The sequence below is a fragment of the Homo sapiens genome, chromosome 9, assembly GCF_000001405.40.
Source record: "Homo sapiens chromosome 9, GRCh38.p14 Primary Assembly".
NCBI lineage: Eukaryota > Metazoa > Chordata > Mammalia > Primates > Hominidae > Homo > Homo sapiens.
This window is the reverse complement of record NC_000009.12, coordinates 136,602,125-136,621,355: the sequence shown is the minus strand read 5'-3', so window position 1 is coordinate 136,621,355 and position 19,231 is coordinate 136,602,125. Positions and strand designations below refer to the sequence as shown.

General features: G+C 63.4%; 1 long non-coding RNA gene across 1 annotated transcript, besides 4 other annotated features; it reads left to right on the top strand.

The window, feature by feature from the left end:
* Positions 1 to 4,174: 4,174 nt before the first annotated feature.
* LINC01451 (long intergenic non-protein coding RNA 1451) lies at positions 4,175 to 9,328 on the top strand. Its single transcript, NR_135288.1, has 3 exons — positions 4,175 to 7,232; positions 8,453 to 8,653; positions 9,186 to 9,328. It is a non-coding gene; the product is annotated as a long intergenic non-protein coding RNA 1451 (long non-coding RNA).
* Positions 5,745 to 6,039: a silencer, noted in NCBI's record as "tiled region #9516; HepG2 Repressive non-DNase unmatched - State 20:ReprD". NCBI's record gives its function as "represses a minimal TATA promoter and a strong SV40 promoter by Sharpr-MPRA in HepG2 cells {active_cell/tissue: HepG2}" and the evidence as "EXISTENCE:reporter gene assay evidence [ECO:0000049][PMID:27701403]".
* Positions 13,334 to 14,183: an enhancer, noted in NCBI's record as "H3K4me1 hESC enhancer chr9:139501625-139502474 (GRCh37/hg19 assembly coordinates)". NCBI's record gives its function as "activates a minimal SCP1, AML or CMV promoter by ChIP-STARR-seq in naive H9 embryonic stem cells {active_cell/tissue: H9 hESC(naive)}" and the evidence as "EXISTENCE:reporter gene assay evidence [ECO:0000049][PMID:30033119]".
* Positions 15,034 to 15,883: an enhancer, noted in NCBI's record as "H3K27ac-H3K4me1 hESC enhancer chr9:139499925-139500774 (GRCh37/hg19 assembly coordinates)". NCBI's record gives its function as "activates a minimal SCP1, AML or CMV promoter by ChIP-STARR-seq in naive H9 embryonic stem cells {active_cell/tissue: H9 hESC(naive)}" and the evidence as "EXISTENCE:reporter gene assay evidence [ECO:0000049][PMID:30033119]".
* Positions 16,489 to 16,669: a silencer, noted in NCBI's record as "fragment chr9:139499139-139499319 (GRCh37/hg19 assembly coordinates)". NCBI's record gives its function as "represses an EF-1alpha promoter that drives an FKBP-Casp9 reporter gene in an ReSE screen in K562 erythroleukemia cells {active_cell/tissue: K562}" and the evidence as "EXISTENCE:reporter gene assay evidence [ECO:0000049][PMID:32094911]".

The window sequence follows — 19,231 nt, the reverse complement described above, 5'->3', positions numbered from 1 at the left end:
GAGGGTCTGTGTACAGAGCACCTTTTCCCAAGGAGCCGTGGCAGGGCAGGACCCCCGCCGCCTCCCAGAACCAGCAGGTCTCCACGGGGTCCTTGTGCCCGGTGCGCCCTCCCCGTGGGAGAGGAGCCTGCGGAGAGGGCGGCCGGCAGGTTGGGGCCTGAGCCGGGGAGTCAGATTTCTGCCTCAGCACTCAGGCGGGTGTCGCAAGAGCAGAGAAAGGTTGGCCGCAGGCGCTGGGTGGGCCTTAGGGGGGCCTGAAAGGACTTTCGTGTGGGAAGAGGGGGCTTTCTGGAATCCCAGGACCCCCCACACGGGCGAGGCAGCCGCACTCTGCCCGGGGGGCCCCAGGTGGCGGTGGGGTGGGCATCTCCTCCCCGTCCCCAGAAATCGCACGCTGGGCCCGGCGCGGAGGGAGGCACTGGCTCCTCCCGGCAGAGGCCTGCGGGCTGGGGATGCCGCAGGGGTGGCCCCATGGGCACAGGGGGCTGCGGCCTCCGTCCTGAGGTCCCCTCTCAGGAGGAGAGCCCCTGGGGGCCTGCAGGGGTGCAGCCGCATGCAGAGGCCACTGCGAGGGTCTGGGAGGAGGAGCCCCCTGGGAAGCGGAGCTCAGTGTGGGCCCAAACGCTCCTGTGACCCCAGCAGCTCGCCCCCTTCTCTGGGCCTTGGCGTGCTTCCTCCAGGGGCTGCCCAGGCTGCCAGGCTCTGCCGAGCTGTGTGGAGCCCCCGGGCGTCCCCTCCAGGTGCCCTGGGCAGACATGGAGCGGCTCTCCAGCCCAAGCCGGCCCTGCACTCAGGTCTCAGCGTCCATCTCTGCTGTGGGCGACTATCTCGGGTGGGACCAGGCCACTCCAGATAGCAGGCGCTGGTTGTGGGGGGCTGGAAATGCCCCACACCCCTCTCCGGCCTCCGGCCTGGGTCTGGCAGGGGCCCAATAACTGGCCTGGCTGGGCCTTTGGGGTCTGTGGCCCGAGCTCTGTCAGGGGAGCTGAGACAGACACGGTCCAAGCGGCACCCCCAACCCCAGGTCAGCCTGGCGGAGGCCCGGGAGTCCTGAGGGAGGGTCTGCAGCCCCCTCCCCACTTCCTCTCCCCTGCACACTCCAGGCTGTCCTCTGCAAGGCCGTCACTCCGGGAGACACGGGCCTCCTGCCTCTCTTCTTCCCTCACCATGCAGGGGCAGAGACTGGGGAGGGTCCTGCGGGGCCAGGAGAGATGTTCAGTTTTCACTGTTCTTGGACTGTGACCCCAGCTGGGTGGGTTCGACCTGGTGGGACTGGCCCAGGCCACCCTGGCTCTTGGGCAGCCTCCTGGGTGGCCCCTCGGCCTGCCCCTTGCGTGTGGCCATGGGCAGCCAGCCTTCCGGGCCCCAGTTCGTTGCACAAGTTCCTGGGTCAACACAAACAACCGCGGTGCACCACAGAGTTCCCGGCCCGGCTTCCTCTCCACTCTGTGCGCAACCTCTGGACGGTGAGCGCCGCTGGCCCAGGCCCTGGTCAGGTGCCGGCCTCTGACTGCTCTGTGGTCACAAGTCACTGAAGCAGCTGGGCTCTGTGGGTCGGGGCCAAGCACCGCAGCCTCCTCTGGGGGTGCCAGTAGTGCAAGGCGGCTCCCTGTGCCTGCCAGGGCTCAGTCCCCAGACCACCGGCCTCACCAGTGAACACAGGGACATGACGCTTACACCCATCTGGAAAGTGGGGAAATGCACACGGGGGCTCCAGTGCTTCCTGGCCATAAGCTCATCTGTTTCTGGTGAAAAGAACCCAACCAAACCCACGTGGCAGGACTGGCGTCTTCTCCCTAGCTCAGAGAAACTGAGACCCAGAGACATGCCTAGCCTCCAAGGGTCCCTAAAATTCCTCCCCCTCTTCCTCCCGTGGCAGGACTGGCCTCTTCTCCCTACCTCAGAGAAAATGAGATCCAGAGAGGTGCCTAGCCTCCAAGGGTCCCTAAGGCTCCTCCCCCTCTTCCTCCTCCTCCTTCAGGAAGTCCTCCTGGACTGCCTCACCCAGAAGGGGTCTCGGCCTCCCTGGGCAATGGGGCACCCCCTACTGATGCCCTTTTCTGGCTATTTGAGGACAGTTGGTGCATCCAGTTCTTCCCTGTCTCCCCCCACTGGATTTGGCATACATTAGGCGCTCCATAAATGTTTGCCCATTGCTTGGCCCAACTCACATGCCTCTCTAGGTGGAAGGTGTGCTCATCTCCACCCGGACAGCGTATGTGTGCCAGCGAGGGCTCTGGTCTCCTGGCCTCCCCACCTTTGCTCCCAACGTGCCGTCAGCCAGAAAGCCAGGAAGCTGTTCCCGCAGGAAAGTGGCAGCCGGGAGAGCAGGGGCAGGCCAAGGACCTCAGGCACCCCAGGCCTCCGCCTCCTCTCCTGGGACCCGCCTCCCTCACACTCCCTCCTTGGCCCCAGGGGACATCTGAGGTGGGGGCTGCAGTGTCCTGGCGCCCAGGCTGAGTCTCCACTGCCCAGACTGCCCCGTGCTCCTGCGTCCAGAGCCGGCATGTCCTGGCCCAGCTGCGGCTGTTGGGCTGTGGCTCAGAGCCTGGCCTCGGGGCCGGTGTGACTTGGGTGGGGTTCTGCCACTTGCTGGTGGTGTGACCCAGCCAGCAGCCTCGGCTTCTTCACCACTTCCCTCACAGGATAAGGAAGTGAAAGATGGCAGGTGCTTACGGAGCAGTGGGCGCCCACGGAGACTGGCCACGGCCACGCAGGGGTGCAGGGGGATGGCCAGGGTCCCGTCCACGTGGGACTTAGGTCTCACTTAGTTCCAAGGAGAGCTGTGCCCCGGGAACCGGCCTCCATGCTGCCTGCACCACCAGCTCCTGCGCCTCGAGGGGCCGCACCCGGCAGAAGTGCCTGGTGTGGGGCCTTCGTCGAGGCAGGTCTTGGCTGGCAGCACCTGCCACAGGCCTGCGCTGGGTTCAGCACGTGCTTCACAAAACAGCAAGTAATGCCTGCACTACAGAGGAAAATTGGCCAGTGCGGAGGTGGGAGGAGAGGAAAAAACAGGGCTGGGCTGGCTGGAGATCCCCGCTGGGGCTGGTGGCCCCCCAGGCCTCCCCCAGGTGGTTCTCACACAGGCAGAGCGGCCGGGCAGGACTTCCCAGCACCTGTGCCTTTCCCCCAGGTGACAGCAGGCCAGACACCACGTGCTGACAGTGACTCTGAGTTTGTGTCGCCTTTTCCTTTAAAAGAATGACCTCTCCTTCAGCCCAAACCCTCTTCCATACACCTCGGCAAGCCCACCTCTTCCCTAGCTTCTCCTAGGCTGGCTGTGGCTGGTGTGGGTGCCCGGCTGACAGCCCCACCTAGGGCCCTCTCATGTCCTTCTGGTTTTGGCTGCTGGGGAGTTTACTGCCCTGGAAGGCAGTTTCCACACTAGCTCTCTGCCAGCCGCTCTCTGCACCTGCCTGGGAGGCCTCCAGGCACGCCCCTGCCCAGCCTCTTCATGTGGGAGTCCCAGGGGCAGCAGCCGCCGGGGCCAGGCCTTCCGGCCAAGCTCAGATGCCTGCTCTTTCCAGAGCCTCCCGATCGCCCCAAGTAGAGGAGCCTACAGAGCTGCCCCCAGCAAGGAGCCTCTTCTCACCCACGATCTCTTTCATTTTGCAGCGGCTCAGGGTGCCGCCATTCTCTCCAACTCACAGGGGAGAGGACAGGACAGAGACACTCACCGGAGGGCACCTGGTCTGGAGGGGCCGCCTCCTTCAGCTCCAACCAGCCCCAGGCCCTGCAAAGCCCCTGAGGGCCAGGCCCACCCGATGCTGCTCGACTCAGTAGCCTGGCCCAGCGTGGCGGCACAGCTTGCAGGAGGCACGAACCTGTTCCCAGCACACGGGCCCCACCACTTCCCGCCATACCGTTTGGGGCTCGCGTCTCCTGTGTGGGTGCTGGTCCCAGACCTGGGGCCTGCCAGTCCCCACACCAGTGCCATCGAACTCCAAGGGCCCTGTCCTCCCCACTCCGCCACACCCCGTGGGCGGCCCACATCTCCTGCACGGCTCTCAGCCCCTCCCCCTGCAGTCCTGAGGGTCTCCCCATAATGGCCCTCTTTGGCACTTCCTAAACCCAAAGAGGCAACAGATCAGAGACAGGCAGGGCTGGCCGAGGCTCCTGCAGGGAAGTGGGCAAGGCCCTCCCTCAGGCCTGTGCCCCCAGCCCCCAATCCCACACCCCCATCACCCCCAGGTCGCCCTGCAGGCACTGTGTGTTTGGACAGCTGGAAGCAGAGCTCGGCCTGTGACCTGCCTGGTCCAGCAACTGGACCTTCTGGAGGTGAGCCTGGGAGTGGCCGAGCAGAGGAAATCACCCCCATGGGGAGGTAGGGGAGGGGTGAGGCCCCCCCCACCAGGTTCTGGAATGTTCCGTGGGCTGGATCCTGGAGAACCCACTTCTCTGGGCTCCAGAAAGGCAAGGGCAATGTTTCTTTGACCTGAGAAAGCAAAGCAGCCCCCCGACATCCTTCCACACACTCATCCCCTCTGGTGGGGAGCCGGGGGGACACATATGAGATGGACAGGGTGGGGGCCCACACCCCAGGCTACTCGGACAGCAGGGGTCAATCCCGACGGGCTGGAGAAACCTCAGGCCCCAAGTGCACCAATGGCCCAGATGGCTGGAGACCTCTTCCTTTGTCTCCTCTGTCTCCAAGATCCAGGAGCCCAGGCTCAGCCTGCGAACCACCTGGCCCTGGCCCTGGAGGGGGATGGGGAGGGTCTGTGACCATCCTGGGGGGTATCTGCGCCCCCTTCTTCTACCTGGGGACAAGGGCGCGAAGTCCCATGCAGCCCCCATGCAGCCTCACGTGCCTGACGATGGGAGCCAGGCCAGCCCCTCACACGGGTGCTCCTGGGCAGCCTCTCTGGTAGCCTGGACGAGTCACCCCAGGGGCACATGCTCCAGGCAGCCCCCTCACCTCAGGGGGCATGGGAGGCGCTGGGGGTCTTCAGCTGGTGATGGGGTGACTGACGAGGATCAGCCCCAACCCCGGGGTCCTCTGGCCGCTGGCAACCGGAGCACTCCCCCAGTTGGAGCTGAACCATGACTCCAGTCCTTCCCAAGAGATGGTGGGGAATCGTCACCATGGCTGGAGTCCCGCAGACTGGGCAGGCCAGACAGGCCCTTGGAGGAGGCTGGTGGGATCCGAGTGGGCAGAGGGGAGACGGAGGAGGGAAAGGCAGCCCCAGCCTGCGGTGGTGCTTGTCCTGGGCGGGAGGGGCCCTGCTGTCACTGACGTGGGAACCACCGAGTCACCGGAGGGGCAGGGGCAGAGGGGTCTCGGTGGAAAGGGGGTCCCCAGAGGCCTTGGGAGACGGGGGAGGTGCCTAGGGCTCTCTGGCCTTGGTCTCTACCAGCTCAACGAGGGCTTTGTTCCAGGGGCCCCTGGGTCCCTCTGCCTCCAACAATCTGGGCTGCGTTTTCTGAGCACCTACTGTGTGCTGGGTGTGGGCGTCCGGGCAGGCACTGACTAAGCCTTGTCCCTCCCCAGAGTCACAGTGAGACACACAGCCACATCCTGTAAATGAAGACCTCGTGGCTCAGAGAGGTCAGGTAACTTCCCCAAAGCCTGTCTGGCCTCCCAGCACCATCCCTAGTCCCAGAGGGGAGGTGGAATGAAGGCAGGGCTAAGGCCAGGCTGCATGGAGGCAGAGGCACCTGCCGGCCTGCAGGACCAAAGGTTCTATTGGAGGCAGTGCCTGGGCAGACAAAGGCCCTCAGATTCACAAGCTGAAGCCCTAGCACCCAGGGCCCCAGTGTGCTACTGTGTTTGGAGACAGGTAAAGGTTGTCAAGGTAAGACAGGGTGGCCCTGATCCAATATGACTGGCGTCCTTGTAAGAAGAGGAGATTGGGACAGACACGCCCCGAGGGATGGCCATGTGAGGGCGCCTCAGGAAGACGGTGTGCAAGAGCGGGAAGCGGGGCCTCGGAAGAGCCAGCCCTTGGATCTCGGGCTTCCAGGAGAATCAGTTCCTGCAGTTGAAGCCACCAGGGTCTGTGCAACTTTGTCACAGCTGCCCGAGCTGACAAATTCACCTGACTTAAGCCCCCCGCCCCACCCGACCACAGTGTCACCCAGATGCTTGGCAGGTGCTGTGGCAGGGGCTGGGTCCCTGCTCGACCTTCGGGTGCCGGGGTGTCCCGTATAAGAGCAGCACAGCCACCGCCACGGCCACTCGCAGTTCCAGGCTCCGGGCAGCATCTGGGACCCCAGTTCCTGTTGTGAGAGGCTCCCCACTGCCATCCCACCCCCTGCAAGGTGCCTCGGAGAGCGGCTGGAGGCTGACGGGTCGAGGCCTGGGTTTTACGGTCCTGCCTGGGTTTCTGTGTGGCCTGGGGCTGCCTACCATCTTTCCCTCTCTGGTCCCCCCTACTCTCATATACCAGGCTGGGTGACTGGGGCCCAGGAGCGGCCCCCCCCTCCTCTGGGCTTCCTGGTGGCACCCCTGGCCTGACAGCCCCTGGGAAGGCCTCCCCTCTCCATCTCGGGGCCCAGCCCGGCCCCACCTGCTGAGCTGCAGCCTCCAAGGCCTCCTTCGCACGCGTGTCAGCTCTGACCTCAGGGCTCCCCACGCGTGTTCCCCTCTAGGAAGGCCCCCCCAGGGGCTCCCCAAAATCCTGTCCTCCCTGAAGCACCTGTTCTTCGTGCTCCTCCATGAGGGCCCGCACGGGGCCGCTGACCGCAGTCTCAGTCACAGCCTGGGAGCGCCTGGAGGTTGGGGGGCAGCAGGCGCTCAGTCAGTCCTCGGGTCACCATGGATGGCCTTGCTGTGTGATCCACACTGAGGCCCAGTGGTCAGCTGGGGGGCTGGACAGGAGGCAGCCACTTCCTGGCCTGGCTGGTGACTCACAGGCCCGTTTCTGGGAAAACTCCCACCCACCCCCACTCAATCCGGATGGCGCAGAGCTCGCTGTGGGGACCAGCTGTGGGAAGTGCATTGTGATTAGGGGCCGGGTCTGGGGGTGGGGAAGGCGGGAGCCGGGGCGGAGGGTGGGGTGGGGTGTGGGACGTCTCCACCAGAGGCCTGCCTGGGCTGCTGAGCTGTGCATCCCGTGTGCCCTGACGCTCCACATGCTCCCTCACCGGGCAGGGGTCGGGGGCCCCGAATATCATCACAGGGAGACCACACGAGGCTCCTGCCTGAACCCCTCCTCAGGTCCCTCACGCTCAGGGGTGCCTGGCCCAGCCTCGCCTTGCCCAGCCTTGCCAAGGCCAGCACAGCCCAGGAGGTGCACCCCCTGGGGTCCCACAGCTCCGAGGGGCAGCGGGTGGCCGAGAATGAATCCGCAGGGCTCTGGCTGGATGCTGGAGGAAACAGGCTGCTTCCAAACGGGGCTAGGACGTGGGGACTGTCCCCCCAGGCTTCCCCGGCCAGAATCCAAATGCCATTTGCCCAGCCGGGCCCTGGAAAAACATCCTCTGGGAAGACTCCGGGGAGGGGAGGAGGCCTCTGGCTGGGTGGGGAGCAGGGCCCAGGCCTGCTGAATAAACACCCAGGGACCCTGCAGAGTGAAAACAGAGCCACAGCCGGCCAGCCCCTCCCAAGCCCATTTGGCTTCTGCAGCCCTGACCCTGCTCAGGGAGTCTGGGCAAGTCTTTTTTGTCTTAACAGCTTTATTGAGATACACAATTGGCCCTTGATCAATGGGGGACTCGGGCGCCAACCCCACACAAAGTTGAAAATCCTTCTATTTATATATATTATAAGGTCTCAAACTCTTGACCTCAAAAAAAATATATACATATATTTTTAGACAGTCTTGCTCTGTTGCCCAGGCTGGAGTGCAGTGGTGCAATCTCGGCTCACTGCAAGCTCCACCTCCTGGTTTCAAGTGATTCTCCTGCCTCAGCCTCCCAAGTAGCTGGGATTACAGGTGCACGCCACCATGCCTGGCTAATTTTTGTATTTTTAGTAGAGATGGGGTTTCACCATGTGGCCAGGCTGGTCTCGAACTCCTGACTTCAGGTGATCCGCCTGCCTTGGCCTCCCAAAGTGCTGGGGTTTCTATATTTATTTATTTATTTATTTTTTGAGATGGAGTCTCGCTCTGTCGCCCAGGCTGGAGTGCAGTGGTGGGATCTTGGCTCACTGCAAGCTCCGCCTCCTGGGTTCACACCATTCTCCTGCCTCAGTCTCCTGAGTTGCTGGGACTACAGGCGCCCGCCACCATGCCCGGCTAATTTTTTGTATTTTTAGTAGAGATGGGGTTTCACCGTGTTAGCCAGGATGGTCTCGATCTCCTGACCTCGAGATCCGCCCGCCTCGGCCTCCCCAAGTGATGGGATTACAGTTGTGAACCACTGCGCCAGACCCAAGTATAACTCTTGATTGCCCCGAAACTTAACTACTCATAGGCTACTATTGACCAGAAGCTTTACCAATAACATAAACAGTCGATGCACGTTTTTGTATCGTGAATGTGTGATATAGTGTGTTCTTACAATACAGTAAGCCAGAGAAAAGAAAATGCCATTCGGAAAATCCTAAGGAAGAGAGGATGCATTTCCTCGTCTCCACGTGGAAGCGGATCACCCTAAAGGTCTTCATCCTGGTCTTTTTCATGCTGAGGAGGCTGGGGAGGAGAAGGAAGAGGAGGGGCTGGTCTTGCTGACCCAGGAGCAGCAGAGAAAGGAGAAAATCCACGTGCAGGTGAGCCCAAAGTTCAAACCCGCGTTTTTCCGGGGTCGGCCGTAATTCACGCTCCATGAATTTCTCCACCGACAGTGGCGATTCCACCATCTCCAGCACGTTCAGCTACGTGCGGCCGTCACCACCGTCCATTCAGGACATTTTCTTTTTTCTTTTTCGGACGGAGTCTCGTTCTGTCGCCCAGGCTGGAGTGCAGTGGCGCGATCTCGGTTCAGTGCAATCTCTGCCTCCCGGGTTCAAGCAATTCTCCTGCCTCAGCCTCCCGAGTAGCCGGGATTACAGGCACGTGCTACCACCACGCCCAGCTAATTTTTGTATTTCTAGTGGAGATGGGGTTTCACCATGTTGGCCAGGCTGATCTTGAACTTCTGACCTCAGGTGATCCGCCCGCCTCGGCCTCCCAAAGTGCTGGGATCACAGTTGTGAGCCACCACAAAGCCTGGCCCAGAACATTTTCATCAAAAATAAACGTCATCAGCCCAGCCCCAGCCCCCCAGCCATAAAGACCCACTCAGCCACCTTCTGTTCCCAGGGGCTGGCCAGCGCTGGGCTTCTCGGGAATGGAATCACACACGGACTGTGGCGTACACATCACAACTTTAAACCCCGTCCGTACTGAAGCCTGCGTCCGAATTTCTTCTGTTTTTGTGGCGGAAGGATAAATATTCCATTGTACAGACGGTCTACCCGGTTCATCCGTCACCCACCCATGGGCACCCGGGCCGTTTCCACCCTTAGTGAAGGAAGCCGCACGGGTGTTTGTGCGGACAGGAGCTTCCGTTTATCTTGGGCGCACACCTAGGGGTGGAGTTGCTGGGTCTCGTGGTGACTGGTTGTTTCGGGAGCTGCCGGCAGGTGACCCAGCAGCTGGGCCGGTCCACATTCCGTCCAGCAGCGTGCGAGTCTCTGATCTTGGCGCCCACACCCCTGGCTGGCTCTCTCCTCCCTCCGACTTCGCAGCCACACCGGAGGCAGGTGGCAATGTGAGTGGGGACCGGGCACGCGCAGGGGCTGACTCCACACCTCGCAGGGCTGGTCTGCAGATCTCCCTGGGAGGCAGGAACATCACGCCCCCATTTCAGAAGAGGATGCTGGGCTCAGAGAGGCCCACCAGCAAGTTGGGCCCTCACTGGCCACTTCCTCCATTCTCTGGACTCGGCAGGAACTCAAGGTGTGCGGTCCCTCCCTCGGCGCCCAAGCCCCACACTGGGCCTGCCCTGGGCATGAGTTGGCCATTGGACCTGAGGCTGGAGAACCTGCCTGGGACAGAACAAAATTCAAGTGTGAAGTTCTGGAAGGTTCTGGAGGGTTCCAGAGGCCTCCTGGAGCTCCCTGGGTCCCCTGGACTCCACATGAGTGGCCACCCAGCCTGTGGTCTACGGCTGCCTAGGTTCACCCCCTTGGTCCCCCAGACACACACAGGGCAGCCCTTGTGTTCCTGGGGCCGCTGGTCCTGCAGCGTGAGCTGCCACCTGTAGGGATCCCTCCCTGCCTGCCCACACCTGCCCCCCACGGCCGCCCCCCCTGCCTGGCCGCACCTGCCCCCCACGGCCGCCCCCCCTGCCTGGCCGCACCTGCCCCCCCACGGCCGCCCCCCCTGCCTGGCTGCACCTGCCCCCCATGGCCGCCCCCCTGCCTGGCCGCCCCTGCCCCCCATGGCCGCCCCCCCTGCCTGGCCGCACCTGCCCCCCATGGCCGCCCCCCCTGCCTGGCCGCACCTGCCCCCCATGGCCGCCCCCCCTGCCTGGCCGCACCTGCCCCCCATGGCCGCCCTCCCTGCCTGGCCGCACCTGCCCCCCATGGCCGCCCTCCCTGCCTGGCCGCACCTGCCCCCCATGGCCGCTTCCCCTGCCTGGCCGCACCTGCCCCCCATGGCCGCCTTCCCAGCTCAGGCTACAGGGAGAGGCCAGAACCTTTTCTGCTCCCGGAACCCACCGTCCACTGCTGAGCGCTGAGTTCCCAGCTCTGCGGCTCTGACCTGACCTCCCCCTCATGCCCATATCTACTGCTGAGCGCTGAGCCTCGGGCCACACAGCCTGGGGCAGAGGTCAATGGCTCAGTGCCTCATGGAGCAGCTCATTGGCAGGGGCCACACCCCGAGGCCTCCTACCAGCAGGGTGGACGTGGGGGCGCAGGCTTGGAGTCCAGGGAGCCTGGTCCCGAGGGTGGGTGCCCTCCAGCGAGTCCCGTCACAGGGCTCCTGACTGGCCTGAGGGTCAGCTCCCCTCCAGCGCCCGTGGGGTGGGCTGCCATCTCCATTTACAGAGGAAACAGGCCTGGGGGCTGTGGCCACTAGAATAATGCTGGAAAACACCGAAGTCGCCCTCCCCTCCGCCCCCCCACCCCCCTCCCCCGCCCCATGCAAGTCCTGGGCCTTGTTGCTGTGAAGCCGACACCTGGCCCTGGGAGCCCCAGAGGACGGTAGGTTCTGGAGCGCAGGGCGGCGGGCTGTGCAGGGGCTCTCCAGTGCTGCAGTCACATCGCCTCCCCAGGCCTGGCTGAGCTGCAGCCCCACTCCACACAGCAGCCCTCGGTAACCCTTTGGGCAGGACCACCCTGCCAGCTGGCTTCCTAGAAACTGCCGCCCTTCCCTGCAGGTGCCTTAGGGAGGTGGCAGCTGGCCAAACCTGCCCGACTCCCTGGTCCCTCTGTCCCCTGAAGCCCATGAGGGCTGGGGAGCCTTCTGATAGCTCTGCCCTCCACTGCCCGGCCCGGTGGGAGGGGCAATTCCACTGGCAAGCACTTCTGGCAGGGAGGCAGCATCGCAGGGAGGGGCGGGGGGAGATTGGATACCCCAATGCCACCCGCTCGTTCCAAGGCGCATGCCAGGGCCATCTAGTACCCCAGGGCGCAGGGGCGGCAGCCTTCCAGGCAGCGCAGACCTCTGGGTCACCCTCCAAGCCCCAGGCCTGAGCGCTTGAAGGCCTGTGGCTGCTGCCACCACCCCACAGATGGGCTCTGGGGGACAGAGAGTGCCCAGTCTCCTCCGCACCTCAACTGACTTGCTCCAGGCCTGGCAGAGCAGGTGCTCGGAAAAGATTTGCCGAGGGAAAGGCAGAGAAGCCGCGGTCCTCTGGCCCGGCTACAGCGGTGCTTCCCAAGGAGCTGCTCACCCTCAGAGCCACTGTTCCTCCAGGGGCCTCCCCTCCGAGCCTGACCTGCCCCCAGCCCGACCTGTCCCTAGCGGTGATGGTGGAAAGTGGGTCCCCAAAAAGTGCGGGGGGTTGGAGAGGGGGCTCAGGAAAAGTCTGGGGCCCGGGGCCAGTCAGTGGGTGCTGGGAGGGTTATCTGCCAAGAAATGTGACCTTGGGGCAGCTGGCTGGGGGTGCAGCAGGCACTGGGAATGTCCTGTGGACACCCTGGAGGGGCAGCTGCAGGGAGGGGCCGCGCAACACTGACCGGGAGTTGCCTGGAGCCCCTATTTGGCCATGGCCGCCCACCCGCCTGGCCCTGCCCTGGGGGCCTCAGGTTCCTGAGATAGGGGTCTGGGCCATATTCCAGGGGAGAAGACCCCCACTCTCCCTGGGATGCCCTCCTCAGAGCAGGGGCATGCCATGCCTTCCCTTCCCCCAGCCACCAGGTACCCCGCCTGCCCGCAACAGACCCGGGGGAAACACACTCAGTAACTCTTTACAGCCTCTCCAGGAAGAGCCCCGCAGAGGGCAGGGGCGGGGAAGGCCCCATCGTCAGGGCCATTTGCTGGAGCTTTGGGCCAGTTTTCCAGGGCCCCTGAGCAGATGGCCCCGGCCCGTTTGGCATTTGTCCCTCAACAAGGAGACCCCGCAGCTCCTGTTTTCCCAGGAAGTGGGGCCAGTGCCCAGAGGACAAAGAGACAGAAAGAGACAGACAGTGAGACAGAGAGACAGTGGGAGACTGACTGAAGGAGAGAGACCCAGTCAGGAGAGAGTCACAGAAGCATCCAGAGAAGATGGGGAGGAGAGATACAGACCCGGCCGAGAGCGATGCGGAGGGGCTTCTGCAGGAGGACCAGGGAGGCCAGGCTGGGCCCCACCCGGCGCCCCGGGCACAGGGACAGGGGAGGCACAGGCTGGATCAAAGATCTTTGAAATTGGGATCAAATGCTCAGGTTTTATTGGTGCTCTTACTGTGTAACTGTGTAATTGGGGCAGGGACAGTGAGGCTGTCCCCCTGGGAGCCACTTCAAAGGCTAAAGGATTCCTGAGCTCTTTTCTCCCTCCTTCCCTCCTTCCCTCTCCCCTCCTTCCCTCCCTCCCTCCTCCTTCCCTCCTTCCCTCCTTCCTTCCCTCCCTCCTCCCTCCCTCTCACCTCCTTACCTCTCTCCCTCTTTCCCTCTCCCTCCTTCCCTCCCTTCCTCCTCTCTCCCTCCTTCCCTCTCCCCTCCTTCCCTCCCTCCCTCCCTCCTACCTCCCTCCTTCCCCCTTCCTCCCTCCCTTCCTCTCCCCTCCTTCCCCCTTCTCCTCTCCTTCCTTTCCCCTTCCCTCTCTCTTCCCTTCTTCCCTCTCTCCCTCTTTCCCTCCCTCCTCCTTCTCTCCTTCCCTCCCTCCTCCCTCCCTCCTTCCCTCCCTCCTCCTTCTCTCCTTCCCTCCCTCCTCCCTCCCTCCTTCCCTCTCTTCTTCCCTCCCTCCTCCCCTCCTTTATTCTTCCTCCCTTCTTTGAGGACAAAGCCATGAGGGAGGGAATATGTTTCCACCAAGCTGATGCTGACTGTGTACCTCCTCTAGGTGTCCTCAGGCTGGGCTGAGGACGCAGAAGGGAACTGCCAGTCCCTGGCTGGCACCAGGCTAGCTGGGGGGCGGCAGCTCTAAAAGGACCATGTGGGCAGAAAGGTGTTGGGAGCAGCAACTCAGCAGTCAGGGGTGAGGGAGGCCTCCTGGGCCAGTGAGTTGGCCTTGGACTGTTGAGGAGAGAGAAAATCACCTCCCTCCTCCTGGACGTTGGGCCTCTGCTAACGTCACCAGCAGGCTCCACACCCTGGTATCCTCACGCAGGTGGCTCTGTTTGGTGTCTCAGCCCAGGTGCTCTGACCCGGCCTTCATTCCCTCCTGGCCTTGTGGGAACCATCCAGCCGCTGGATCTGTGCGGAGCTGTCCAGCTGCTGGGGGCCAAGGCAGGGCGGGGCGACTCCATGCTACAGCCGTGGGGGCGTCACTGTCCGGGCCCTCCCCGCACAGCCTCCCTGGTGCATGTTGGCTCCATCTGGAATTAGCCACTGGGCCCACCCCCTTGGGTCCCTGGCCTGGGAACCCTCTGCTCCGCCTCCCCAAACACCTGTCCAGACCAGCTGCCCCTGGGCGTCCGCGGGCCACTCTGCCCGTCAGCTCCCCTCCTGCCCCAGCTCTGGTCTTTGGGACCCCACCCCTATGCAGGGTAGACTGTGGTCTTTGGGTGTGGTTCTGTGTGTCTCTGGCTGGGACCCCCTGAGGACAGGACCAGGGCCAAGGTTGCAGCTCAGGGCAGCCAGTTGGCAAACTCAGGATGGACCCAACTTAAAAGTGCCACGAGCAGGTGGGGGCATCACAGGCCAGGGCACTGCCCACACTGCCAGCTGGCAGCCCCACCGCACCCCAGGCCCGGGAGAAAGGGCCCGGCTGCCACCTCAGCCTGGATGGAGCCCACGCTTCTGCCTCAAGGAGGCAGGGTACTCACAGGCACCCAGAAACTTTCCCTCCCTGCCAGGGGCCAGAGGCCTTTGAAGTTGGAAGGGCTGGGGGCGGATGAGAAGGTCCAGGGGTGTAATTAGAGGAGGCGGCTTCACTCTCACACGTACAGTAAAGGTGGCTGCTGACTCCCAGGGCGGAGCCGGCCTTGCTTGCAGGACAGGTCCCTGTGCAGGGCCTCTCAGCTTCACGGCCACGTGGCTTCTCCCTCAAGAGGGCGGCTGGCTGGACGGGCTCCCCTCGAGGGCCATCCACTCCTCATGACTCCACACAGAGGGAGGCCAGGCAGAAGGGGGATTCCCAGAGGCCGTCCCTTCCCACTGCCTGGGCCTCCCAGGGGCCTTCGGGGTAACGTCAGGGCTTGTGGGTGCCCCCGTCTCCCAGCAGCCTGACACAGGTGTCCAGCTCCCGTTTAGAGAGCAAAGTGGGGTGTGGGACCCCAGCAGTGCCAGCCTTGTTGGGAAGGTTTGGGGGTTACATCTCAGCTGGACCTAAAGAGAGACAGACACTCGCTGGGTGATCCAGGGCAGGGGTGAGGGGCACTCCAGGCAGAGGGAAAGCCTGGACAGAGGCCCAGCAGCCTCATGAGTTTGGGGGCCTTCAGGCAGCTCAGTGTGAGGGCCTGGATATGGGACGAGGCTGCAGAGCTGGGCGTCTGCAGGGCGGAGGGAGCTGGAGGCCTGCTGCAGGCTCCCCTGGCCCACAGAGCACGGCTGCACCCCTGAGGCTGGAGCAAAGCTCTGTCCCTGTGCCTGGCTCTTGAAAGTGCCTCTGTAGCCACCCAGGCAGCTGGCGTCACCCAGGTCTCTCAGGCAAACAGCCGGCCCCGGGGCCTTGCCTCTGGCGGGTTGGAAATAGCCTCAGGTCCTGCCTGGGGCCCAGCCAAGAGCTGCCGTCCAGGGGAGGGGCTTGGAACGGGATTCCCCCTCTACATCCCACGTGGCCCGGATCCTATGGTGCCAGCCACACTGGTGTCCAGACAGACCTCAAACCCCCAGAACACGCCTCCTGGGTTTCCTTCTGCCCAGCGCTGGCTCTCTGCCCTCCTCCCGGCCTGGGCACAGGCCTTGCCTGAGGCCCCAGCACTGAACCCACTGCTGTCTCCACCGATCCCGATTGGCTTGTTTGGTTGGAGGATCAGAGCCTGCACACACTAGGGGCCTGGTAAAGACTTGTTAAATGGGCCAGGTGCGGTGGCTCATGCCTGGAATCCCAGCACTTTGGGAGGTCCGGGCGGGGAAGATCACTTGAGTCCAGGAGTTCGAGACCAGCCTGAACAATATAGGGAGATCTCATCTCTACAAAAAAAAAATTAAAAATTAGCTAGCATGGTGGCACGCACCTGTAGTCCCAGCTACTCGGGAGGCTGAGGCAGGAGGCTCTCTTGAGCCTGGGAGGTCAAGGCTGCAGTGAGCCAATATTGTGCCACTTATGAAATGAATGAGTTACTGTAGAACTAAACGTGGAGATGACGAGAAGAACGTGGATTTGAGCAGTTGCAGCTCAGGCGGCCTGGACTCCTTTCCTCTCACATGGAGCAGACGGGCGGCCTGGGCAAGCCCTCAGGGGTGCTGAGAATTGTGGCCACAGCTATGAGGCACAGGGCGCCTCCAGGCCCGAGAATCTGCTGGCCGTAGCCCTGCTGACCCTCGGCTGCCCAGCACTGAGTGGCCTCTCCTGACCCAGGCCCCGGTGCCCCTGTGAGCCCCAAGAACAGGAAGCCGGGCTCATGTTCCCCGTGACCCCAGGAGGCCGAGTTCACTTTCGCCGTGATCTCAGGAGGGCCACAGGCTCTTAGAACAACCCGGGAGGCAGGAGGGCCCTGAGCTCACCTAGCTTCCCTGTGGGAACCCAGCACCCAGTCCTGGGGTGCCATGGCCTCTGGTTCCCACCTTCAGGCACCCTTGGCCAGCGGAGCAGTGAGTACATGGAGAGCCTCCAGCCTCCTGCCGCCCTCCCCTGCCCCAGCGCTGCTTGCTGTCCCCTCCAGCCTGGACGTGCAGTGTGCTGGCAGCGCCTGAAGAGGCAGGGCCCTGGGCCTGGGCAGGCCCCCAGGCGGGCGGTGGGAGGGGAAGGAGCTGATAAGCCAGTCAGCATGGCCCTAACAGCTTGGGCAGGCGGAAGCCCGGAGATGGAACCTCGGGCACCCTCGTGGAAAGGGTGGCCTGGGTGGGGCTGGGGGAGGGCAGGGGATTCTGGGCTGAAATTCGCAGACAGTGGTGGAGGCCCAGGCCCCCGGTCCGATGCCTCTCTGAGCCTGTGTGGGGCAGCCCCAAGGCATGGGGCTCAGCCTGTGGCGGCTTCCAGCTTCCCCACTGACTTGCTGGGAGACCCCAGGAAACCCCCTCCTCTTGAAAATGGGGGTGATGTGCCTGGCCATGGCCATCCGTCAGAGAAGCAAGTGGAGCCCAGCAGGTGGGCTATCACGGCAGGCTTCCTGGAGGAGGGGGCTTTCCCCCAGCCCTTTATGGATGGTGTCCCAGCTGAGGCGATGGGGAAGGCAGTTCTCGATGCGGAGCTGGGAGGACCTGCATGTGTTCAGGGTGCGGTGGAGGGACACCTCGTGCTCATAGGCAGAGGGGTTTGGGATGAAGCTGGACTTCGGGGAGCCCAGATTTGGGGGCTGACTTTTGGGCAGGGGAGATTGGATCTTGGCACGGGGGCGCCATAGAGGGCTCCTGATGGGAGGGCCTGGAGTCCCAGGCGATAAACCTTCCCCGCCCTGCGGGCAGTGCTCTCCCTTCCTTCCTCCCTTCCCAGGCCCCGCCTAAGCGCTGATTTGGGGGATGGGAGAGTGCAGGCGGTGGGACCGGGGATATCCTGTCCAGGAGCCACCCCGCCGAGGGCCAGGACGTTGCCCACCCCGGCCTCCAACCAGCCGCTCGGACACACAGTCCGTCAGGAAGTCCCAGCCCTGCCTGGGGCGTCTCTGAGCTCAGCGAGGTGGCAGCTCCTGCCGGAGCCGTCCCATCCAGCACCTCCACCCACCATGGCCCTCGGCCCCACCCACGAGTCACCCCCTCCACCTGCCGGCCCCCATGGCCCTGCATCTCCCAGCACCCAGACCTCCCTCCTCCTCTCCTCATCCCCAGCCAGCACCTGCCCCACCCTCCACACCTCTAACCCCGACTTCTCCAGCTACTTCCTCATCTCTGCAATGGCCATTTGGGTTTCTTTTGGGGACAGCAGACACCTTAGCTGTGACACACAGCATGGGCCGTCTCCCTGGAAAAACGCACAACATTTCACACCCAATTTTCAGAGTCTCAAGGAGTTCCAGACCCCAGGAGGCTCACCTGTGGGCCACCTTGGGAGGAGTCCCTGGGCCTCAGGCTAAGCTCTCACTGGAAAGGAGGTGTCTCTGCCTTCTGACTGGTGGGGAAACTGAGGCCTAGGGGAATGGAGAATGCAGGGTGTCACAGGGTCACCCAGAGTAGCCTGGAGGCACCTGGGCCAGAGGAGAGCCCCACACTGGCTGGTCTTCCCACAAGCACCGGCGCCTCCCAGCCCCAGCCAGGCCCTGGACCCCACCAGGACCCCTGGCATGTGGGCTCAAATCCCAGCCACACCCTCATTGGTTGTGGAGCCTGGGAGCATATTTGGTTCCCGGCGGCCTGTTTCCCCAACTCACAACTCGCAGCCCCAAGTACCTGACAGAGCCCGAAGTCCAGGGCTCTTTTACTGGGGACAATAAAAGCCATGACTAGAAGCGCAGACGTTAGAGGCAGGCACACCCGGGCGCAAGCCCCACCTCCAACCTCCCTCTGCCCCCCAGGTGGAGGCCTGGCAGCTAGCTTAGCCTCGCCAGGCCTCAGTTTCCTCTGGTGTAAGACGGGGAGAAAATGCAGGCCCCAAAATGTTGCATGAATATCGTAGGAATTGCTGTAGAGTCTACAGTGTACACAAAGTGGCCAGTAAGTCCCTGGCACAGGGTCCAGGCCCTCCCGGGAGGGGTGCCATCCCCACGCTCTCCAGGGCCTGTGGCTCTGAGACAGAAAAGCCAAGGCTTGGTGGGGGTGGAGGTCACAGTAGGGAGGAGTCACAGATGATAAGTGGTTCTGGGCACTTTGTCAGCGCCAGGCATTTAGAAGGGGTCTGAGGAGGCCCCTGGCAGAGGATGGAAGCAAACCGTTCTTGCTGGAGTGTGAGTGACTGCTACCCACACTTCATAAGCTCGGAGGCACTGGCTGAACCAAAGCAACAGAACCTTGGTGTAGGAATGGTGGGATGCTGGGGAAAAGGCCGGGTCGGGCCCTGGGGCCACCCTCTCTGAAGAGGCTGGGTCCATGGCTCCTGCCCTTTTCCCAGGACAGAAATTGGGTGGGGGGTGGTCAGCTGAGAATGTGTAAGCCAGTGCCCGAACCGGGGTTGGGGGGCCTGCAGGGGGTCAGCTGAAGCCCACCTGGGAGCCTGGGAGACCCGACCCCACACGTTCCTCCCTCCCCCGACCAACCATGGGGCGGGGGTCGCTTCCTCCTCTATGCTCTGCACGTTCAGAAACGCTTCTCCAGTAGTGACCTATAGAAACGATCCCTCAAAGTACAGTCTCGCTTCCCCTTCCTGGGTCCCAGATGTTTGTGGTGCCCCAGGCCGAGCGCTCGCTGCTCCACGTTCCCAGGCAGATGTCCTTTCCACCTGCACCCGCCTCCTGTCCGCCTTCCCCCTGTCCCCGCCCCAGCTGCAAAACTCACTGCTGACAGACACTGGAACCATGAGATGAGGCAGGCCAGGTCCCATCCCCGCTGGCCCCGCAGCCACCTGCCAGCACTGGGGCGGGTGGACCCGGGATGAGGATGAGGTACTCTGCAGCTAGGGAGGCTGTGCCCCCGGCCGCAGGAGTCCCGTGGCCCTTCGAGCTCCCTCCTCTGGGAGCCCGACCAACCCCGCCCAACCCCGCCCGCCCACCTGCCCCCTCGGCCGCTGACTCCATTCGACCCTG